Genomic DNA, 25,681 nt, shown 5'->3' with positions numbered 1-25,681 from the left:
TTTATTTAACTGTCTCTGATATTGCTATGAAGGTCTTTCTGAGTCTTCATGATGTTGAGGAGAATATCTTTGTTCAGAAATTCTTGATTACTTTTCTGAGTATTTGACCGAAAGTAGATTTGGAAATGCAGAATCATTGGGTCAAATGCCTTCAGAAAGTTTGTGCCAAATGCCAGAGTTAATGTAGAACAAGGTGTTCACTTTTTTTCTATCCCATCCCAATCATCATTGTGTGTGTGTTATTATAAAAATGCTTTCTAATGTAGAAAGAGACTATTAAATATTTTTTGCGTATCATTCTTTTATTAGGAATGACATTGAATGTGTTTGCACATACAATCTGCCAATTGTATTTTTGCTTTTGTGAATTGTCTGTTAAGGTCTTTCATTCACTAATTGCTTGAGATTTTTATTTTAAATTTGTCTTTAAGTAATTAGACTGTATTCATCTTTCGTGTTGGTTGCAATTACACTGCTTCCCTAATTTGCTGGGTTGCTAAGCCTAGCCTATATTTTTGTAGCCAAAGTGAGCTTTGATTCCCCTCACTGTACTTCCCACCAGTGCTGTGTTTGCCTGTATTCTGCAGGTCACAGCTCAAGTGAGGAACTTGGGTATCAGTTTTGGTTTTATCCTCTTTCTTCCTTTCCATCTTTAAGCATTAGAAAGGTGGGCTGCCAGAACTATGTCTCAAATGCCTCTGCTCATGATTCTCTTGACTCCATCCCCAGTTCATGATCACCATCTTTTATCTGGGGGGAGCAACAGCCTCCTTCCTGGTCTGTCACCTCGTCCCTTCTCTGCTCAACAGAGAAGTGTACGGAAGCATCTCCATCTGCCTGAATGCCACCCCAGCACATGCGCATGTGCACACACATGCCCTTCACAACAGATGTCTTCTACATTCTGTTTAGTTCTTAATTTAAATGCCCTCTGCAGTGGGTTAGACTATGCCCCCTGAAAGATATGTCTATGTCCTAGACCTGAGAACATGTGTATGGGACCTTACTTGAAAAAAAGTGTTTTTGCAGATATAAACGAGTTAAGGATCTCAAGATGAGATCATGTTCCATGATCCAGTTGGGCTCTAAAACCAAGGGAAGTCTCTTTATAAGAGAGAGAAGACGCACTGGAGGAGGTCACATAAAGATGGCGGTAGAGGTGCAGAGGGGGCATCTAGAAGGAATGCTGGCAGCCTGCGGAGCCGAGAGAGGCCATGGCTGGATGGTCCTCTAGCGTCTCCAGAGAGATCTGCTGACGCCTTGATTTTGGACTTCTGCCTTCAGAACTGTGAAAGAATAAATTTTTTTCTGTTTAAGCCATCAAGGTTGAGGTAATTTGTTGTAACAGCCTCAAAACGGATACACTATCTTCTCAGGAATGCATTTACTGGTCATCATGTCCTAAGAGCTGTGACCTCCATCGTGTTCTCCAAGGCAGTTTCCATTACCGAAACATCATTGGTTTCTCTTTTTTTAACTTTTGCTTTAAGTTCAGGGTTACAAGTGCAAGTTTGCTACATAGGTAAACTTGTGTCATGGGGGTTTGTTGTACAGATTACTTCATCAACCAGGTGTCAAGCCTAGTACCCTTTAGTTATTTTTCCTGATCCTCTCCCTCCTCCCACCCTCCACCCTTCAAGCCAGGCCCCAGTGTGTGTTGTTCCCTTCTATGAGTCCATGTGTTCTCATCATTTAGCTCTCACTTATAAAGTGAGAACGTGCGGCATTTGATGTTCTGTTTCTGCTTTACGTTAATTTGCTGAGAATGATGGCCTCTAGCTCTATCCATGTCCCTGCAAGGACATGATCTCATTTTTTTTAATGGCTGCATAGTATTCCGTGGTGTATATGTACCACATTTTCTTTATCCAGTGCATCATTGATGGGCATTTAGGCAGACTCCATGTTTGTTTTTTTAAATAGAATATTTGATATTTTTCTAATTGTAATTAATTTTTTTTTCAAAATTGCCAGTAAGCACCATAGAGGCAAGCAGCTTGCTTAATTAGTCTTTAATGCACGTCTACTCTTGGACACATTGTGATCACTTACATATTGTGGAAAGAGAGGATAATAAAAGACAGAAGACAAAGATGAAAACGGAGAAGAAGGAAAGAAAACATTAAGTAAGTCTGCTCTTCGATGCATTCTTTTCTTCCGATTAAAATTCTTACCGTGACTTCCAGGTGATAAGGCCTTATAGAGCAGAGTACATGTCTACACATCTCATTAACAAAGCTGATTTTGTTTCCCTTTTTTTCCCTTTTTGTTTTTATTACACAAGTAATATTTAAAGCATTCTACCATAGTTGCATCAGTGCACACGTATGTTGGGTAAAGCTTAAAAGTCCCCCTGACCTTCCTTGACCCTCCCATTTCATGCAGGTTTTTATCCTATTTTATACATTTACATACACATATGTATAAACATATGTGCAAACATTTCATAGCATTAATAGGAACATGCATATAAAACACAATTTTTTCCCTAAAATGTGCTTTTTCACCTAATAACATGAATATGCATTTTTTGATCAGCACATACAATACGAATACCTCATTTTTAGTGGCTGCATGACTGCATTTGTCCAAGGTAGAGTATTACCATAATTTATTTTGCCATTTTTGCATTAATGGACATTTATAATTGCGCTTTACTATGATACCAAATGTTGCAATAGATATCTTTATGCTTAAAACTTCACATTTTTAACAATGTCCTTAAAGACAACTTTCTCGATGTCTAATTATTAGATAAAATGGAATTTAAATATTTGATGGATAATGACAGCAGTCAATAAATATTTTTCCAGCTTATGCTTTTATCAAAATTATATGAGAATGCTTGTTTTTCATATTATTGTAGTGCTTTATAAACTTTTTTCATCGGTTAGATGAAAAAAAATCAATTGATTTAATTTGTTTTTATTTGATTACCAATGATGTTAAGCTTTTTAATGTGTGAATTGGCCATAATATTTCTTCTTCATTTATTGCATGTTCATTTGTTTTGCTCCCTTTTCTATTAGTTTGTGAATATTTTTATTATTGATTTGTAGGCACTCTTTATGTATTTTTCATCATTCCAATGGTGCGTTATATTAATGTATTTCATATGAGAACACTTACCTTTGCAGGAGATGTTAACTACAGTTGCTCTTTGACTTACAATAGACTTACATCCAGATAACCCCATCATAAATTGAGAATATAGTGAGTCAAACATCACAGCTTAGCCTCAGCCACCTCAATCATGTTCAGAACACTCACATAGCCTATAGTTGGGCAAAATCATTTGACACAAAGCTTATCTTATAACAAAGGGCTGAATACTGTACAAAGATGGGCATTGTGTAGACATTATGGGGTGCAAAATCACAAAACACAATATCCAGAAGATGCTGGCAACAGAGCCCACTGTAGAGTATTGGCGGTATAGCCTCTTGCTGGCAGGCAGATGGGGAGCTATGGCTCCCTGCCACTGCCCAGTATGTCCATGAAGTCTCCTATCCCAGAAAGCAGACCAACATTCAAAATTCAAACTGTGGTTTCTACTGAATGCATATCACTGTCACACAGCATAAAGTTGAAAAATTGTAAATCAAACCATCATGAATTGGGATCGTTTGTATATACCTAAAGTTCTGATTTTCTTTCCATTCTTAATTAATTTTCACTGGTATCAAACTCCTGTGTTTGCTGTGGTTTGTTTTGACTTGAAGATGAGGTGATTGGTGATAATGACATAGATGTTATTAAACTCTCTGTCAAGTGATCTACCTGTAAAACCAGGTGGACACCTGAATACAGGTTGTAACAGAATTGAACCAGTTACATGGGACCACAAGGGGGAGGTGTTTGACCTTAACTGTGAGAGAGGAAATTTTATCTCCTGACCCCTAATTGAATGACAAATTGAAGACAAAGCACGCCCACCTGGCTGCTAGCCTGGTTAACATTTTACATTTTTTCTCTCCTTCATTGGAGTCACAGGCCCTAATTTAATGAAATAATTTAACAGAACAAAATGACTGCAGGACATGTTTTAAAATGTAAACCACGTCATCTGTGGCCTAGATCAGCATGACATCTGCCAATCTGAAGGACACGGAAGGTAGATATGGCGGGATATATTTGTGTATATGTTTATTTAATACCTTTTAAGCTGTCGTCTAATTCTTATCTTCTCCAGATACCTGGACAAATGCAAAGAAAGCATTCAGCTGAGTCAAAAGTGCAGAATTATTAATCAATCCTTGAAAACAATAGGCTCTTTGGCCCCTTTGGTGGGCTGAATTCTCAGGATCGCAGAAATGAAAAATTGTGGTGATTTGGAGGGCATTAGATTCTTGTGTGGCTGACTTTATTTCAACTTCATGTTTATTCTGTGTTACTGTTGAGCAAAGACAAAATTGCCTTGGAAGGGTACAGCGGTTCTGTCATGTGAGGCTCTCTTAATTGCTAATACCATTCATTAATTAGAAGAGGGAGAACTAGTGTTGGAGGCTCACTGGGGACCCAGCAGGTTTAGGGCTACCTAGTTTAGTATGCTAATGACGACTGCCTCTCCTAATATGCCAGTCAAAAGTGACTCCCTTTAATCTGTCCTGAACTGTGTGACAATCTGAGCATACAGTGACAGCTGCAGAGGCAGAACGCTGTATCCCACGCAGAGGGGCTTGGTGACTCTGGTTGGAGTCCGGGGGTGGGGGTGCCTAGGACACAGGAAGGCAGGAGCCTGTGAGAACAGAACCAGGCCAGCTCTCACATTCTGGTCAGAAATGACAAGGTACACATGTCCCTTTAGACTCTCATGAATAGAAAAACCACAATGGCCTGATTTTCCCTTTTGTCTCAGCATCAAATCCTGCAAGAAGACCCACCCAGATTTGAAAGGAAGGTCTGCGGTGAATAACTGAAGACTTGAACTCCCCTTATATTTCACTCAACACTCTGAAAAGTGTGTTCCTCCCAGGAGGGACTGCAGTTTGATCCAGTGATGTGTTCCAGAATGTTTCCTAACTTGGACTGCAATCAGATTTACTTCTCCTAAGTGCCTCGTGCTTGACGGCATGGGCATCTCTGTAGACAATTTAGCTGGGAGCATAAATGGTTCAGGGGAGATCAATTATCTGATTAAGGAACAAAAGCAGATGGTGACCTGGTTATGAGGCATTCTCAACTCACCCTGAGTTTGTTTGTTCATTTGTTTCCCACATCCCACCTTTGAGGAAAATCTTCCCTTCCACCTTTTCATAAAACACAGCAAATAATTGTGGTTTTTTTCCTTCGGAGTGAGGGGTGTGGGGGATCTGAAAGGGTCACCCGCTTTACATGTGTCATTGCAGATGCGAGAAATGCATTAAGCGTTTTTAGAAGAATGGACACTGTCGAGGCCCTGACAGTCTGGTGACGATTTGTTTGTGTTGGAGTAACCAGTAAGTCGGCCGTTAGTCTTTGACTAATCGCTCCTGTCAGCTTGTTAAACATTAAAAACAAATGCACGCACTGGAGAAAAGCCATACCTCTTTTTGAGATAGGGAGTCAGCTTTTGGGCTCTTTTCAATACATGTGGTCCTTGAGGTTGTGCGTTCCTAATTGTTGCCTTCACACCTACCGTGAGGAGCCCTTCGTAAGGCAGAGTGAGGATAGAGGTGTTGAACTTCTGACCTGCAAGCCAGGTCCAGCCTCCAACCTGGTCCCCAGGTGTACACATTTCTGGCCATTGATGTTACAGCACAGAAAACAATTTTCTTTCTATGAGCTGCTCTGGTTATTCTAGTCATAAAAGTCTTTAAAGGTTAGAGGAATAGAGAGCCTTTCAGGATCTGCGAGCAGTGTTTAGTCAGATAATTAACTTCTCAAAGCAGTAGGAACAAGTGGATGCTATTCAGACGCGCACAGTCTAATGAAAACTTACTTTATCCTTTGATTTTTATTCTCTTTATTTTTATTCCTCTCCTTTCTGTCTGCATTTCACCTTCTTTGTCATCTCTTTAAATTCTCTCCTTTCATCAATTCTATTCTATCATTTTTTTGGTTCCTGTCTGTAAGTTGTGATCTCCCTCCCCCATCTGCTTAATGGATTATACATATATTCTGATTTACAGACATCTGGGCATAGCTTCTCACGCATCTAGGTCTCTCCAGGAGTCTATATCAAGGAGATATTTTACCAGATGACTTGCTCATTCCAAATCCGTAAACGTCTATTAATTACATTTGAGGTAATTCCACAATGTTTAATATAATAATGTTTTAATATGCATTATTGAAACTAAATATGTATATTTTCAAAGGAAGTTTTGCGAATGTTTCACCTATCCAGATCTGTGCTACCAGGGTAACACCACGTTCTTAAGGGCCTTTACTCTGAAAAACAGCTCTCTTCTGTAGTACGACTACTTCTTTTCAGGCTTAAGTTTATTGAAATTAATCAACTGATGTATCTGTGGTGCGTTTATCCTTGTGATGCCGTGTGGAGCCTTTTTTCGCATCTCAGGAGGAAAGATTATGGGTCGGCAGAGAGAGTCTTCACAAGAACGGTCTATAATTCAGATGCAAACCTTGCGCGTGGCCTTGGGAGTGCTTTCCTCTGTCTTGGGGGTGGGATTCCTGAGCAGAGCCTGGCCTCTGTGCTCTGGGAAGACACTGTGCTCTCAACTAGGCTGGAGAATTTCAAACCCACTGCCAGAGCCAGATTCAGGGACAGCCCACCAGGGCCGGCTTCTGGAATTTTATTGAATATACACTTTCTAAAAGCTGTTTTTCTTTTTTGAGATGACTTTTAACCAAAATGTCACTTTTAAAAGCCAGTTTCAATGATCCATCTATCATCAAGTTCCCACTGCAGATTCCAGAGTGCCTTTCTAGACAAACTAAGATAAATACATTCACTCAGAGCTCAGGGTAGGGCTCCAGGAGCAATCAAATCAAAAGGATAAAAAGTCTCAAAACTGAATCTGTGGAATAAAATTCCAGGGGAGATTCATGAATTCTACGAAGAACACTCTCAGGTTCCCATATTTTGGGGGATATTTAGGGACATTGAGTAAGCTACAAGCGTCATAGCCATGCCACACTGGAAGACCTACAAGAATTGAGGAAATAAACACAAGAAAAAGTTATTCATGGCATATTTTAAATAAAACACACCTAATTTTATTAATGAAAGTTAAAGTGTCCAAGTAGCCATTAAATCATTGCAGAAAGGTGCTAATATACATACAGGATTTTTAAAGTTAAATCTATAAATTGGCTATTATAATATCTTTAAAACAATCAAAAGAGAAAATATGTCAAAAGATTGGTTTTAGAATAACTGGGTAAATTTAGGTTCTGACATTTGAAAACAAATCTTAACAAAGGAGATATTTATGTTGACAAATGGAAGGCAGCCCTTTACGATAAACATTTTAACAATGCTTCGAACATCTAGTGTTTGTTGTTGTTGTTGTTGTTTTGAGACAGAGTCTCGCTCTGTTGTCCGTTCTGGAGTACGGTGACGTGATCTCAGCTCACTGCTGAGAGCCTCCCGGGTTCAAGCGATTCACCTGCCTCAGCCTCCCGAGTAGCTGGGATTACAGGCGCCTGCCACCACGCCTGGCTAATTTTGTTGTATATTTAGTAGAGACGCGGTTTCACCATGTTGGCCAGGCTGGTCTTGAACTCCTGACCTTGTGAACTGCCCACCTCTGCCTCCCAAAGCACTGGGATTACCAGCTTGAGCCACCGTGCCTGGCCCAAACATCTAGTGTTTATCCTGTCCAAATTTTTAATCTCTGTACCGATGAGCTATAGATATTTGTGACAGAAAATTTATTTCCTTATTATTATATTCCTTATATTATTTTCCTTATTTTAATACCCAACCTACTTCAGTCATTTTAAAAGGAAATCTTGGTGTTAATTATATGGATGCATAGATGCTTTCATTAAAAATATGTGGTGTTCTGGGCTATCACCTCATATCACTTCTAAGGAAATCCCTATGTGATTTGCTTCTTTTTGCATAAGTGGTGTTCCTAAAATGTATTTTATTTTATTTTATTTTGAGATGGAGTCTCACTCTGTCTCCCGGGCTTGAGTGCAGTGGCGTGATCTCAGCTCACAGCAACCTCCGCCTCCCAGGTTTAAGCAATTCTCCTGTCTCAGCCTCCTGAGTAGCTGGGATTACAGGTGCACGCCACCATGCCTGGCTAATTTTTGTATTTTTAGTAGAGATGAGGTTTCACCGTTTTGGCCAGACTGGTCTCAAACTGCCAACCTCAGGTGATCAGCCTTCCTTGGCCTTCCGAGATGCTGGGATTACAGGCCTGAGCCACCATGCTCGGCCCCAAAATGTATTTTCTAGAGCACTGCTCTCACTAGGTATTTGGCAAAACAAGTATCCATATTCTTTTTCCGCTGCTTGCTACTTACACAGTTTGATACCTGGAAATGAGTAGCTGCAGGTAACGGAATCTAACATGGGGTGGATTCTAAGTGAAAGAAGTAGGGGAAGTAAGGAATCTCTTTCTCGGAAACGGACTTTGGAAATCTTTCTTATGCCAACACAATACAGTTGGCCAAACTATAGTCTGTAATGGTAATGGAAGCTTTAGTATTAAGGGACTTGGGTGGAAAAAAAAATCTGAATTTTAAAGTATGTTGACTACTTCTTGCAATCACCAATAAGAACCTGTGTAAAGAGGTAAACTTAGGGGGAAAATAACTCTTGATTTTCCATCTTTGGCTGTGGATGACAATTCAGAATTTTAAATCTGGCTTTTAGAAGTATGAAAACATTTAAAAAATAATAACCATCACAAGGTGAAAATATAAACAGAGATGCTTCTGTCACCTTTCCTTCTCACCCCAGTTCCTGCTCCTATTCTCTGCCAGTTTAAAGAACTGTGTTCTCCATTAAAATAAAAAAAATAATTAAAAAAAGCTGAAGCTCATGCTCATTGTGATGGTGCACCTGAGATACAGTCTCGGTGCAAAGAACATACTTTTCCCCTTGAAGCTAGAGTGTTCAAATGGCTACAGACAGAGGCCCGGGTGAAATTAGCAAATATCACATTGAGAGCTCAAGCAATGGGCAGTGCACAGAACTGTTGCTAATAGACAGAAATCTTCACCTTCGAAAACTGGATGAGATGTTGTCTTTGGTTCTTGTACTAAGCCATGGAATTGACTGAAAGCCTTGTAAATGGAAGGCTCCCAGGTGTTTAAGGGAGATCACTGCCATGGAAACCAGAAGCGGTTATGAAGAGGAAGCAATGGTGCCACTCCAAGACAACTGTTAGGCTTACAGAACCATGTCAGCGGGGAAAGTTTCCCAAAGGGATACCTTTCATTGCCATCAAGGAGAGGCCAAAGAAGCCATGGGAAGGGGAAATTATACCTGGAAGCTCACCGAGAGCTCTCTAACCAGGTTAAATCAACAGCACAGACCGCTGACATGGCAGGAAGTTCTTGCCAGAATCAGCCAGTTGTAAATGACAAATGGATCCGTGGCCTCAGTGGGCTACTTCTCATGCTTCTATTTTCCAAATAGAAAGTTCGGGTTTGTTTTTACAGCTATTCTTTTCTTCCCTCACAATTCATTTGGAATGTTTCAGAGATACATAATTTATTGTTAATCAGGGGTCTCCAGGCGTTTGGACGTGATGAAGAAGAAGGCATATCATGGAAACGTCCTAGACTTGGAACTAGGTGTGATAGCTAGATATGACTATGTCATCTTCTTGGAAAGAGTTTAGTGCATTTTTTTATAAGTGTGAGCGTGTTTGAATGAGAGGGCATGGAGAGTGGTGCATTTGTGAATGCTTAAATAAGTGTGAGCGTGTTTGAATGAGAGGGCATGGAGAGTGGTGCATTTGTGAATGCTGGATAATTACTAGACCCTCATAGACACTACTGGCTACTGATGCAGGAACTACCTCCTCCTCCTTTTTTTCCAAACAAAGTCTTGATTTGCTTTTAGCATCCCTTCATTTTTGGAAGATCCCATATGTCCCAAGTAAAGTTGAAAATACTCCCTCAGTTCCAAAAGTCAGCATGATTGATTTAAGAGGAATTCCGCTTCTCTAATTAGTGACAGGAACAAGCATGAGACCCAATTCAGGCCCATGACATGAGTTAGAGATTTTTCTGGCTGCTTCCGGAGAGGTTTTCTTTATATTGTTAAGAACTCCCGGGAGTAACGCCTTCTTAATTCCTCCTGGTGTTGTCCTATGTGAATGCAAGGCTAAGGATGACTTCAGCTCTCCTGTTAGCAGCCTAAAGAGGAAGCTAACATGCTCCGAGGGACCCTCAAAGAAAATCTTAAGCCAGTTACTTGATCAAGTTAATCTTGAAATTCACCTTCCTTCTAGATTTCATGGCATGCCGTTTATTATAGGACAAGCCCACTTGAGTTGGTTTTATTGTTATTTGCCAACAAAAGCCTTGCAAGGGGTATGGCTTCAGTGAAAAAATTGTAGAAGCCACAAGCCATGGTAGAAAGAGTGGGGAGAAGAGAAAAAAAAAAAAAAGCATTACCGGGGAGGAAAGAGTATAACAAGAACAGAGAAAAGGATAATAGGGGAAATATATTTTTTGCCTACTTAGAATTAGTCCTTGTTCAGAGAATCACAGAATCTGGGACAGAAATGTACTGACATGCAGTTCACAAACTGGCACTGGTTTAAAATAAGCACTGTTGTATGTTTCTGAAATTCATAAATTTCAAATATCTTTTATTCTGATATTAAGTCTTTTCACTTTTTTGGCATTAAAACTGCATTTTTAATTGAATCCTATAAGTGGTTTTATGCTTATATGTATCAAGCTACATTAGATAGCTCTGCAGTTTACATTATTTAAAGTTTTGCTGGTTTGTGAAACTCCAGAATCTGCATATTACCAAATTAGGTCAATATCTTTTACTGATTATGACGGTTAATTTTATGTGTCAAGTTGGCTGAGCTATGGTCCCAGTTGTCTGCTCAAACACCAGTCTAGATATTGTTTTGGATATTTTTTAGATATTATTATCACTTAAACCAGTAGACTTTAAGTAAAGCAGGTTATCCTCCATAATGTATAAATTGAAGGGTAATCTGCTCACCCAAAGTCCACTGATTACACTCCATAATGTATAAATTGTATGAACTGATTGAATGAGGCCCACTCCATAATGTGGGTGGGCCTTACTCAGTCAATTGAAGGCTTAATAGAAAAGACTGAAGTCTCCCAAGAAGAGGAAATTCTGCCTCTAGAAAGCCTTTGTATTCAGGACTGAAACATCAAATCCTGACAGATTCCTAACCTCTGGGCCTGTTCTACAAGTGTCAGAGTTTCTAGCCCTACCCTTGCATGAGCCAATTCCTTAAATTAAATCTGTCTGTCTCTGTCTATACACATTGTATTGGTCTGTGTCTCTGAAAAACTGCTAATAAGACACTGATTCCTTAATATTCATTCTATTAACTACTGTTATTTAGGTCCTGTGATAGTTAATTTTGTATATCAACTTGACTAGACCACAGGGTGCCCAGATATTTGGTCAAACGTTATTCTGGGTATTCCTTTGAGGGTGTTTTTGGATGAAACTGGACTTAAATCAGTAGACTGAGTAAATCAGATGGCCCTCCCTAATGTGGGCAGGCCTCATCCTATCAGCTGAAGGCTGGAAAAGAACAAAAATGCTGACCTTGCCTCAGTTCATCCTGCCTGATTGCCTTAAAACTGGTACATCAGCTTTTTCATGCCCTAAGACTCAAACTGAAATATTGGCCCTTCCTGCATCTTCAGACTGGACCTACACCATCCTCTTTCCTGGGTCTCCCACTTGCTGACTTACCTTACAGACTTGGAGCTTACTACCCTTCATAATCACAGGAGCTATTCTCTCTTTCTCTGAGCGTGCATGTGTGTTTGTATATGTATTATATATGTACACACACACACACACACACACACACACACACACACGGTTGGTTCTCTGGAAAACACTGACTAATACAGGACCTTACCATATGCTGAACACTATTAGGAATAGAACAAGGTGCACAGTCAAGTAGGAGAATTGAAAGTATCAACACCTGCAATGAAATGTGATAAAAAGGGCAAAGAAGGTGAGGACAAAATACTGTCTAATGCAAGATGAAGGGGTCCAGAAAGAATGCTTTCTCAGAGGAGGTGACTTTGAGCTGGGTTTTGAAGACTGAGAGGAGGTTTATCAGGCAGGAAAAGAAAGAAACTGTTTCCCAAGAATAAACACACATGTTAAAACTCAGCTGAAATATCTCCCATGTGATAAGACCTCACTATCTGCTGTCACTCCAGTGACAGATGCTCCGATTATGAGAATCTAGCCCCCTGAAACACCCCCCAGTTTGTTTCTGGTTCTCTTAAGCATTTACTAGACATGTGGCTTAGGAGGTCACCTATCTATTCCGAGATTCACTGTCATCATCTATAAATGGGAATAATAATACCTTATAGGGCTATAGCAAATAGCAAATTAGATCTTTTATAAAAAATTTCAAGCTCATATTAGGCATTTGATTTATGTCATTTCATGATGTTCCTTCCGAAGGGAGATACAGCAGGTCTATTCCAGATCCATAGGAAGGCCTTTACAAAATGATAGGCCTATGAATAAATTCAGGAAAATGGGTTGAAACATGATGTAATGTATCAATAACTCACATAAAATATATAATATTTTATATATATTTACATATGTACATTTACATATGTAAATGAAAATCAATACATTCATATTAGAATTGAATGCAATGAATAGCAATCTTTCAGTGTTTACCTTTTTCCTATCTGGACACATTTCTACCCAAGATATGTGCTTGGTGACAGGATGAATTAATATAAAATTACAAAATCACTAAAACAAACAAAAAGGTACCTTTTTTTTAACCTGTCAGTAAGTTCAATTAGTAAAAACTATTGGTAGATAATATATTTTTTACTAAAAATGTTTAGAACTCCTCTTGTTTGTACTGAAGTCTACCTTCTTTGTAATCTAAAAATTCATAATTGAAAAGGTGTAATTTTTTAATATTACCAATAAATTATTCTAAAAGTCATAAATTCTTTAAAGTATCTCTAATTTTTATAAGATAAAATGATCTTAAGCAGGTAAAAGACAACAAGAAAATAACAGAATTCTACTTAGTCCAGTGTCTGTCTATGGATGGGACTCTAAAGACTTGGTTATTCTCACTTTACTGAACAGGATGAGGAGTCAGCAAAAAAAAAAAAAAAAAAAAAGGGTATGTCAGGTGGAGATTTTCTTCCCAACCCTTCAGCTTTCCTGGCCGGCATGCTTTCCTTATGGAGGGCCTGTCTCCTGGTTTCACTCAGCTTGCCCTTGCAAAGGTGCTGGCAAAACTTCAAGGTCGAGCTGTCTCTAGGGTTCCCCACTGTTGGGATGGCCAGGAGCCTTTAAACACTGCTCCGCAGCCACACCAGAGATGACAATGCATTTGACCTGCAGCGGGGTCCTGCGTTGGTGTTTTTAAAAACTCCTTAGACGATTTTATTATGCAGCTAAGGTTAAGGGGCACTGTGCTAGTTAATAAAAGAGGATAGGAAGAAAAGAAAGGGTTAGTGCAAATGAAAAATGAGAAAAGTTGAATTTTCAGGAAGCAGTATTGAAAATGACAGTTTCTCTGTGTGTTTGTCTTTTCCATTTATTCACCATTCATACATGTAATATCAGCAACATTCTTCATTGTAAGCTATATTTCTCCAGGAAAGTGTGGTTATATTAGGATTTCCTAGGACCGGGTATGTGATTTTATAAAGCTCTTGTCTATTTTATCTGAGCCCAGAGGGGTGTTTATTCTCCTTTGAATAAAGCCAAGATGGAGAAATAGCATCTTACCAATATTTCCAATGAGTTAACTCTCCTCACCTGCTCATTAGGGCAGTCCTGGAATATGTGCACCAGAAGGTTCTTTAATACATGTTTTCTAACTCCCTGAGGGAATATACGAATTTCAGGTGTAAACTCTTTTAATTTTCATGCCATGCCCTTGATCAATTCTTAAAGCTGTCTTAAAATTGAGCCATATTACTTAGCAATTAAAAAAATACAAGCAAAGAAGAATTTAAATTCTACCTGGCACTCTGTGGATCAATTTTCTGAGTTCAATTTACAGTTCAAGAACAAACACAGATACATGGACATGCACACACACACATACACATATACATAATACAATATGTATATATACATGCATGCACTACCTATATACTATACATATACATACATATACATATATCTGCATGTGTGTATGTGTATAAAATAACTTCTCTAGGAAACCTCAACAAATTGCTGTTCCTTTATGTTTTCAAAATATAAAACTCATATCAGCATCATTTCCAATGTCACCCTAGGGGTTTCTTCTCATTCTTGCCCCTTACTGAGAAAAAGGAGTGTTTTAAGTGCATCATACAATTAGGATTTGTATTTGAATTTTTAGGAAGCCATTTTTTAAATGAAGCTGGATTGTAGATTACCAACACTTCTAGCTGGTAATCACTGGAGATCTGTGCGGTTTGGCATGCTTTCATTAGTTATCAAATCATAAATGTGCACATTTTACATAAGTGACTATTGAAGAAAAGAAATCGTGGGGATCGTTGAGACCAATAACATCAGCTGAATATTTATTTCTGTCCTCCACTGGTTTCACAGCTCTTAATGTATTGTTTTGAAAGGATTCTTTTCTTCGTTTGATCTGCAAACTATGTATTTTTTTTTAATTCCAAAATACATACCTGGTCAAAACTTTCACAGTTAAAATATGTATTTAAAATAGAAACTTCTTATTGGTTGTTTGGATATGGAATTCTCTTTGTCTTATAGAGAAAAAAAAACTGATTACAAAATATCCAAACATTCACTGGGATTTCTTTTCTTTTTTTTCCTTTTTTTTTTTTTGAGACAGGGTCTCACTCTGTCGCCCAGGCAGGAGTGCAGTGGCGCGATCTCAGCTCACTGCAACCTCTGCCTCCCAGGTTCAAGCGATTCTTGTGGCTCAGCCTTCTCAGTAGTTGGGACTACAGGTGCCCGCCACCACCTGACGGGATTTCACCATGTTGCCCAGGCTGGTCTCGAGCTCCTGGGGTCAGGTGGTCCACCCGCCTTGGCCTCCGAAAGTGCTGAGATTACAGGGGTGAGGCGCTGAGCCTGGCTGAGATTTCTTTAGAGAATAGCAGTCCGTGGGCAATAGTCTACTCCTCTAACTGATGATTTTAAGATTATTCCTGACATTTTTTCAAACAGAAGAGATTATTACTAATATAGAGAACAGTAGTGAATAATGCTTTATTTTATTAGCATATACCATTCCAAGTCCTAATGATTTCTCTGAAATCCTGAGGAGCAGGTACCCTATCTGATTTTTTATTTTTTTATTTTTTGAGACAGAGTCTCACTCTGTTGCCTCGGCTAGAATGCAATGGCGCAGTCTTGGCTCACTGCAACCTCTGCCTCAGGGTTCAAGCCATTCTCGTGTCTCAGCCTCCCCAGTAGCTGGGACTGCAGGCATGTGCCACACACTGATAAGGTTTGGATCTGTGTTCCCACCCAAATCTCATGTTGTTGAATTATAATCCCCAGTGTTGGTGGGGCCTGGTGGGAGGTGATTGGATCTCAGGATGATTTCTCATGAATGGGTTAACACTACCCTTTCAGTACTGTCCTTGTGACAGCGAAGGATTTCTCATGCGATCTGATTGTTTAAAAGCATATGGCACATTCCCCCACTCTCTCTTGCTTCTGCTTTTGCCATGTGATGCACTTGTGCACCCTTTGCCTTCTTCCATGATTGTAAGCTTCCTGGGCCTTCCCAGAAGCCAAGCAGACGCCAGCATCATGGTTCCTGTACAGCCTGTTGAACTATAAGCCAATTAAGTCTCTTTATAAATTACTCAGACTTAAGTATTTCTTTATAGCAATGTAAGAACAGACTAATATGCATACATACCTATGATAAATCTAATTTGTATATTGGGCACAGTAAGAGATTAACTAAAACTAATAATAGAACAATTATAACAATATACTGTTCTAAAAGTTATATGAATGAGGTGTCTATCTATCCCTTTGTCCCTCAAATATTTTGTTGTATTGTACCACGGGTAAAAGATACTATCGAAAGTGAGACCAGAGATAAGGGGAAATTACTATATCGGATGTTTAAGCCAAATAACAAGACAAGAAAAATTAATGAGAATAAAAGTAATTGAACAGGAAGAGAAAAACAAATTATTATTTACAGATGATACAATTATTTGTATAGGAAACCTGATCCAATAAATACAAATATGTTTAGAAAGTATAAGTGTGTTTAGCAGTTTTGACTTACATAAGGTCAGTATACAAAATGCAAAAGCATGTCTCTTTACTGGTAATAATTGACCAGAAAATATAACATGAAACATCAGCCCATGTGTAATAGCAGCAAAATGTATAAAACATCTAAAGCTGGCATGGTGGCACATGCGTGTAATCCTAGCGGCTTCGGGGGCTGAGGTAGGAGAATCGCTGGAACCTGGGAGGCAGAGGTTGCAGTGAGCTGAGATCGTGCCAATGCACTCCAGCCTGGGAGACAGAGCGAGACTCCTCTCAAAAAAGTAAAAAATAATAAATAAATGAATATTAACAAATAATAAACAAGATCTTAGTAGAAAAATTTTGAAAATATATTAAAGGATAAAAAAGGAGTATAGAAATACTATTTTCAAGTGTACGATTATATGCTATTTTAAGAATGTAAATTATTCCGAAATTAATATCTAAATTCAATATAATTTTCTTCAAGATCCCATCAAGATATTAAGAAATTTGATGAGTGAATTCTAAAATGTAAATAAAAGAACAAGTAGATTGAAAAAGAAAAGAAAGGTAGGGGAACCAGCTTGCTAATTACTAAGGAATCTACAGAACTTTAGTTTAGTACAAATAAAGTGACAAATAAACAGCAGCGTGATTTTGCACAAGAAGAGAACAATAGATTACAATATAGCAAACACTGAAATATTCTATATGTAGCACCACAATTAGCTGGCAAAGCAATCAATTATTCAGTAAACTGCTGTTAAAAACATTGGTTAGCCACATGAAGAAAAGTAAAGCTGGCTTCCTTCTTCATGTCCTTTGTTAACATAAACTCCAAATAGATTAAATGCTTGAATTGAAAGATACAACTGGAAAACAAAATAAAAAAAATGACTAGACAATTTCTATGATCACAAGGTAAAGAAGGATTTCTTAAACTTGACTTGAAATATATTAAACTTTACAGGGACTCTATGGCTATGACCACATTAAAAAATAACTTTTGTTTAATAAAGATAAAGTGAACAGGGAATGAGTATATTTATATTGCCTAAACAAACAGGGAGCTCTATCTCAAGTATCAAAGAGACTTTTTCAAAGCACCAAGCCAAGTTCTGAAAACCCCATGGAAACTGAACAAAGTGTATGAATGAGGATGCACAGAGGAGGAAAACAAACAGCCCGCAGTGTGCGGAGATCTGCATAAGGTCACTTGCAATCATGGAAATGCAAATTGAAACAACATTTTTTACCCCTCAAAGGTTGGCAAAATTTAGCCAACTGGATCTCTGCAGGTGTATATGGGAAAATGGAATTCCTCAGAATATAGTAGCCTGCAAGCTGGAAGACATAAGAAACTCAGGACTGAGAGTTTTTCATGGAGACGGCAGGGTGAAAGAGGGAATGATGATGAGGGTAAAACTAAATAGTAATAACAGATGAGAGGAAAAAGAAAGCAGATTATTGCTGGGAGGTGATATTGTCCTATGAGCCAAGGTTTATGAATAATTGAGGTGTCTACTTGAAGTGTTAAGGCTGTTATCCCAGCATACTCAGGCTGCTGTAACAGACTACCACACACTGGGTGCTTTAAACAAGGAGCATTGATTTCTTACGGTTTGGGAGGCTGGAAGTTCAAGATCAGGGTGCTGAGTGGCCAGGCTGTTAGAGAAGGCTTTCTTCCTGGTTTGCACATGGTGGCCTTCTTGCTGTATTCTCCTATGACAAAAAATGGAAAGAAAGATAGTGAGGTCTCTCCTGTCTCTTCTTAAAGGGTACTTATTCCATTATGGGGGCTCTACCCTCATGACCTAATCACCTCCCAAAGGCCACACCTTCTAAAGCCATCTTATTAGGGCTTAGAGTTTTCAGCATATGAATTTTGAGACGACACAGATGTTTAGTTCACAGCAGGTATGGAGGTTTTAAAAAGAAGAATGAAACACAAACTTCAGAAGGATTACTCTGTTTCATGGAGATTGTACTCATCATAGAGCCCAGCCCATGGCAGGTGCTTGTGTTTCCTAGGCTCTTTCTAGGAGGAGTCCACATAAAGAGCAACAACGGAAGCTTTTGTTTGAATATTTATTGTTGTCTGTTTCTTTCTGATGCTTCCAAAACTAACAGAAAATTTAATCCGAACAGGGAATTCAGTTTAACAGCTTAAACATAAGCAACTGATTGTCCCAAATAATCGGAAGTGGAGGGGTAAGATAACTACAGCAGTTGGCTCAACTCAGGGGCCCCAGTTGTATTTCTCTGCGACTCTCTTGTGGATTTTCCATGATCCATTATGTGCACATTATCCAGATGGCCTGAAGAATGCTGTCCATGCATGGGTTTAGTCCTGGTTCCTGAGACCCTGTCTGAAAAAGGGGGATGAAAATTACCAGGGTCATCTCTCACCAAATATGGCTCTACGCCGGAGCTGGACTCATTCTTCACAATACATGGCTGCAACATGTCAGGTGAGGAGAAACCCACACAATTCGCTACAAAGGGCTCCTGGGGGAAATAAGCACGTCAGTAACCAAGTCGGATTTTTAGAAGGAACCCCAGTTGGAGCTCTGCAGTGGGAAAGCATAAGTGTGCATTTGACAAACAGTAAGAAGGTGGATCTGCAGAGCAAAGAATCCTGCACAAAATTCACATTTAAGGGGTGGGGTGGGAAGAGATGGATAGTCAGATCATTAAGTGAACATTATTCTTAGCAGAGAGAATGCCAAAGGGGAAAAATCTTCTGAAATCATGATGTAAAGACTTGCACCAGAATCACCAGGTGTACCTGTAAGAACTCATATTCCTGGGTGTGACATCAGCACTCTGCTGAGTCAAGCCCAGCGGATCCTGAGGTGGACTGAGGAGTGATAATGCCCCCTGTGGAGAAGAGCTCTTTCAAGAGGGTCCCTCCATTCCTTACACCCCGCGAGGCTGTGAAAGGGGGAATATGTTTTGCCGATACATCTTTTCTTGTTGCCTTATGAATGTAGCACTGACTCAAGTGTCTTTAGGGCCCAACTTTGTTTAAAATGAGCAAATTGATTTCTTATTCCAGGAAAAGTACACATAAAAAGGGTCATATGGCTTCTTTGACATCAAATAGTTTTTTAACATAACAAACTGTTTTGATAAATTGAGTGCCTCTAAATCAAAGCCATATGGGAGGTACTGGGGCTGAGAGGGCAGGAGGAGCAGGGGTAATTGGCCAGCGGTTCAAACACTGAGTGATTCTAGGCAGTAGACAGCCAGATCTGAGGACTGGCTACCTCCTCTCTATTCCCTTCTGCAGATGCCATGACTCTATTACTGTTAAATATGTTAGCTGCTCATCAGTCAAGAGACTAAAGCATAATGAGATTGAAAGGAAAATTCTGATGTGTCCTAGAGAAGAAAATTATGTTCACTTAGAGTAAAATATCTAATAGGTCACAAGCAACAAATATATGCATTTAATGTTTTAACAAAAAAGAGGAAAATTCCTCTCCTTTCCAGCATGTGTGTGTGAGCAATGGAGTGCATACAATGAACAGTGAACTAAGAGCACGTGGGAGTCTCAGGGATCAGAGCAAATCAGCCTTTCAGCATCAGCAGTCTGGCTGCATAGCCTGTAACCCCGAATTTCAACCTGTTCACCAAAATTGCACTTTGTAAAAAAGAAAATAAGTCAAAAATATGCCATATTGATACAAATTCTGGAGTCCACTGCCTCAGTTGCCTTTTACTAATAACATGCATTTTCCTTGGGAACATTACTTGGCTCTTTTTACTTTAAATTCCTCATCTGAAAAATGAGGATAACAAGATGTACCTGTATTAGTCTGTTTTCACACTGCTATGAAGAAATACCTGAGACTGGGTAATTTATAAAGAAAGAGAGGTTTAATGCACTCACAGTTCCACATGGCTGGGGAGGCCTTCAATCATGGTGGAAGGTGAAGGAGTAGCAAAGGCACCTCTTACATGGTGGCAGGCAAGAGAACATTTACAGGGGAACTCTCATTTACGAAACCATCAGATCTCATGAGATTTATTCACAATCATGAGAACAGCATGGGAAAAACCTGCCCCCATGATTCAATTACTTCCCACTGGGTTCCTCCCATGACATGTGGGGATTATAGGAGCTACAATTCACTATGAGATTTGTGTGGAGACACAGCCAAACCATATCAATATCTCAAAGGACCGATTTCAGAATTAAGCACATTTCTACATATATGTCGCTTAGGGCAGGGCCTGGCATATAGATATATTTTTAGTAAAATAATAAATGTTATATATGTTGGTAGAACATTTTTCATATTAGATATATCTGATGATAATTGGTTATCTTTAGAATAGACATTATTTTTAAACCTATATTGATAACACTGGGAGTGACATTCATCATCAGATTCACCTACATAGCCAATTAGAAATTTCATATACTTTTAGCCTCATCCAGCTCCAATTTTTTCTCTCACTCTAACCTATAGCAGTCGTTCTCAAGCATTCTGATCTCAGGAATCACTTGCATTTAGCTTGTGTGGATTACATCAATCAAAATTTACAATTCAAGAAATTAAAATGGAGATGTTTTTGTTTAAAAATGTATTAATTTTATTTAAAAATAACAACCCTAAATCCATTACCTGTTACTATGTGACATTTAAAAAAAAAGTTTCTCAAGACAAAATTAGCAAGGAGAATGTCATTGTTTTATTTACTGCAAATGTCTTACTTCATAGAAGACAGCAAGGTTCTCACACTTGCTTTTGCATTCAATCTGTTCCAATATGTTGCTTCGATTAAGGTATACTAAGAAAATTTGCCCTAATGCAGATAGGTAGCTGGAGAAAATGAAAATAATTTAATAGTCTTTGCAGCCTGTTGTGGAAATTTTAACTTTACACAAATGTTCATACTATTGCACGTTAAAATCCATTGGTCTATCTTACAGTTTGAATGTGTATTTTACCTATGCAATGTCTTGTAACATTATGCACTGGTCATTTGAAAAACTCTTGGCTCATTTGCGTTACCCAGCTCTTGTAAATGTTAACACATTTTATTATATGAAAAAAATTGCATTTACTAATATCAGTATCAATTTCATCAGCAAAGTGTTAATTTATTGGGAAGCTGTCTGGATCACAGTGGCAGATTTGGATTTTTCAAAATTCTAATTTTTTCTTGCAAGCTTTAATTTTGTAATTGGCAAGAAAAATTTCCAATCAGTTTTCTTGAAGTGACAGGTGCATGCTGTTCATTTTTAGAAATATGTCTGCCATACAAGTCTGAGTGATCAAAGATTGCTGTCCAAGGATCTTTCAACTAAATGTGGTGTTCCGTGAAAGAATTAGCTAGTTCAGCTTGCAACTCAATCACATAAATGATTTCCTTGAGGAACCATTGTATCTCAATCCATAGCAGAAGTGCTTTACAAGTCCTCCTTATTTCATCATACAGAATATTTAGAAGATGTGAAATCGATGATTTAATTGAATACGATTAATAATTTTACCGAGTAAAGTACATTCTTAAATGAAATTGATGTGTTTTTTCCTGCTACTATTTTTCAGTCGACAGTTTGTTTCAAATGCCTTGATTGGTCCTAACGTGCCAACAGTTTTGGTCACCATTGCTTTGAAACCACCGGTGCAAACCTCAATAGTGTGAAAAAGACATAACATATGAAGATATTATGAAAATAATTTTAACATGTCTCATGGTTGCCAAAGATTCTGCAAACATCACCTTGAGAACCCCTGCCCTACAGAAGTGTCCTTTGGCCAGCCTGGTTTCGTCTTTTTCTTCCCAGTCAAGCTCACTTGCACCATGTTAATCTTCCTAGTATCTCTGCTCTCCCAGACCTCCCTGAGCTACTGCATGAAGCTGCCAGCATCTCAACAGCAGGCTACATTCTGGGTGTGTTTCTTCTGAGCACAGAGTATAGGGCCTAATGTTGTCAAATGAAAGAGTGAATGGGCCAGTGAGTGAATGAAGAGATGAATGAACAAACAAATGAACGAGTGGACAAACGTGGTTCTGGCTGTACTGTATTTTCTTCCATCTCTCAAACACATACAGATTGCTCCTACGTAGGGTGTTTTGCTTCCCCTTCTCACTGCCAGGAGTATTCCTTCCGATATTTCAGCATCTGGCTCTTCTTATACAATCTCAGCTAAAACGTCACAGGCATTCCCTGGATCCTCGAATTAAAATAGCCATTCGCGTCTCCCTTTACCTCCCATTGTGCTATTTCTCTGCAGTGCACATCACCCCTCAAGTGTATTTTTATGTCAGCATCCAGCACGTGGCAGCCATTTAGTAAATATATTTCACTGAATGAATGACTGAATAGAGCAGACCATTCAACAGATATTTATTAAGCATCTACCACGTACAAGCCACTGTGGATTTGATGGCTTTGCTCTAAATAAGCTTAGGGTAAGTGTGTGTTGGTGGTGGGGCAGACAGTAAAGGAACAAACAACAGAGCAATCCATGTGAATTAACAATCCCGTTATTTGTTTAAGGAACAATACACGTTGTTATGAAAGTGTATTAGGTGGGATGAGACCTTGCCACGGTCTTTTGATGTTTCCCCAAGGAGATGTTCATTGAGCTAGAACCACAAAGATGAGTAGGTATTAAACACCGAGGGCAGGCAGGCAGGCGGGTGGGACGCCTTGTACCTTAGGCTTATTTTACTGCTTGTTAGTGTTGCATAAGTTATTTCTCTGGACACATCTTACATCTTTCCTATCTCCCAGAAGTTACAGGGCTGGGCACAGAGAAGGAACTCAGCAAACAAGAACTGGTGAGGAGACCAGGGCCAGAAGCCAGGGTTAGCACAGCTGTACCTGTGCTTGTTGGGCGTGTCAGCATCCCAGTTCCTGGTAGTATATCCACACCCATGAGATATGATGACTATTTGCATAATAACAGATTGCTTTTCATTTCCTTCTCTTCGCTTCAGTCCTGTGTGCATTTTCAGATGAAGCTTTTGTCAGGATCCACAGTCTCCCTCTCCGCTTTCTCTCCATTGCCCCACAACTCTCGAAACATCCTCTAGAGCAAATCAATCTTTATTTCTTTGCCATTATCGGCCCTTCCATAAATCAGTCTTGCCCACTCAGTAGCTGGTGTGGCAGGGCCTGCAGCTGTCCACTGCCTGCAAATGGTGCCTTTTCTTCTTAGCTCATCATCGCCAGCTGTTCCTGGAGCACTGTAGGCTCTGCATTTTCGACAAGTGTCTCATCTGTAAAATTATTTCTCTATTTTTTTCCCCTTTCCTCCTTCTTGTTCCTGGCAGCCGCCCACAGAGCTGCACCCCAGGCATATATCCCAGCGCACCCAGCACATGTCTGTGGCTGGCTTTTAGGTAATAAAAGCCAGCTTTCAGTAAATCATAGGAGTAAGGAGATCCATAAATCTTGTTCTTGCCTTGCACACATCAATTCTCACTGTCATGAATACCGCAGGCATGAGTCACTTGGCCTGCACACTAATTTTGGACCTAGTCACTGCCCGGAGGTAATCAAGTGGGGAGGATGTCCTGGAGGAGATTGTGTTCCTGCAAATCGGTGTCTTCTGGACTGAATGGAGAATTAGGCCCAATTCAGGCAAATGGCAATGAACTCAGCAGAGCCTTCTCATCACCCAAGGGTTATGTCATGCAATGTGTGCAAAGACATGTGAAGTCTGGAGGAAAGAAAGGATTCCAGAAGCCACCTTCATTGTTTCGTAGCATTTAGAACTTCACTATTAGCTCCCATCATGTAAATGTCCTGACAGAAAGGACACTATCAGGAGGGTATGCTCAGAATCCCAGTGCTGGCACATCCCAGAGGCCCAGCTATTGCATCTGTGCAGTGGGGATTAGGAACGTGCTTTGTAGTGTTACCCCAAGGACCAAATATGCTAACACATGTTAGCACATGTTTGTTTTATGGTTTTAAGTTCAGAAATAAGGTAGCACCTTTAGTGGATGAATAAAAGACCTGCTGTACCCCCATGCGGTGTTTGCTAGGATCACAGCAGGTGGAAGAGCAGACACAGGGGATTGGACAGTTTTATGCTACATTTGCCATATTGCTCAGTCCTTCCCTTGTTCACCCTTACCAAAGATTGGGCAGTAGCTGATGGTAGAGGTTAGAAGCAGCTGAACTTGAACTAATGGGGTGACACTGAAAACAATATTTTTTTGCATGCAAAAATGTCATGATTGATAGTGGTTCTGTCCTTATGCCCCAGGTAGCTGGCATGAGACCTGGGATTAAGAGTGGGGTGGGGTAGAGGAGGGAAGAGGGCATTGGAAATGGAACTTGTTTCCTAAGTAGGCAACTCACCTGGCTTGTCTCTCCTGTGCCCAGTGCCCTCCATGCTCCAGCTCCTGGGTAGGAGCATTGCCACAGACAGGAGGGCTATGGACAAGTTCTCCTCTTTCTTCTCTTCAATACCTGCTTCAAATATGGCAGAGGTAAGAGAAATGGGTTACCCTGACATTCCATGTCTTTCAAGGACACAGACACAGGAAATAAGAAAAAAAATTACAATAAGTACTAGAGGACCTGGTCTGTCATAATATTTATTTTAATTTTATTATTTTTAGAGATGGGGCCTGGCTATGTCGCCCAGGCTGGACTTGGGTTCAAGAAGTCCTCCTACCTCAGCTTCCCAAGCAGCCGGGGCTATAGTTCCCTGCCACTGCACCTGGCTATACACACCTTTTGTTTTTGTTCCCCTTCATCTTGTAGTTTCTTCTACTTTGCTCTTTCACTGTTTTGGCACTGTGGAGGCCAGGAGGCATGGCTACAAGACAGAGGAGGGCCATCTGGCCTGCTTTGGACTTAGCATGAGAAACAAAATCTTCTATTATATTCCCACATTAAGACCTGTGGGGTTATTTGTTACCACAGCATAGACTAAATAATCCTGACTAATACAGCACTGTAAGAAGTAAGAAGCACTAAATGATCCTGACTAATACAGCACTGTAAGAAGGAATTTGTTTATGTTCTATGAAATAGAGTTGCAGCCACCTATGGAGATGGGAGGTATCAAATAAAAATACTAAAGTTTAATAAAGGTTTAAGACTGTTCCACCTAGAAATATAGACTATTAAATACTCATTGCCCATCCACGTGCTCAGTGTGGAAACTGAAGGACTTCCTAGTGCCAGATGATGTAATAAATCCATGAGTGTGTTGACCCTTCACTAATCACCTTTGTTTTCATTCCTTAAATTTTCCCAGGTTCTGTTATGAGCCATGGCAGATTCAAGACTGTCTGTCTTCTCCAAAATATTATCTTCTTTCCAGCGACAGTATTCATCCAATTTAAATTTATTTTATTCTG

General features: G+C 39.5%; 1 long non-coding RNA gene across 1 annotated transcript; it reads right to left on the bottom strand.

Moving 5' to 3' along the window:
* Positions 1–6,665: 6,665 nt before the first annotated feature.
* On the bottom strand, positions 6,666–24,834 carry LOC107985845 (uncharacterized). The gene is made up of 3 exons (XR_001739267.2): positions 24,672–24,834; positions 17,956–18,058; positions 6,666–7,090 (listed from the first exon to the last, which is right to left on the bottom strand). It is a non-coding gene; the product is annotated as an uncharacterized LOC107985845 (long non-coding RNA).
* Positions 24,835–25,681: the final 847 nt, after the last annotated feature.

This window comes from Homo sapiens, chromosome 2 (assembly GCF_000001405.40).
Source record: "Homo sapiens chromosome 2, GRCh38.p14 Primary Assembly".
In the NCBI taxonomy this organism is placed as follows: Eukaryota; Metazoa; Chordata; class Mammalia; order Primates; family Hominidae; genus Homo; species Homo sapiens.
Note: the sequence above shows the minus strand (reverse complement) of the source record. Positions and strands in the feature narration are given on the sequence as shown.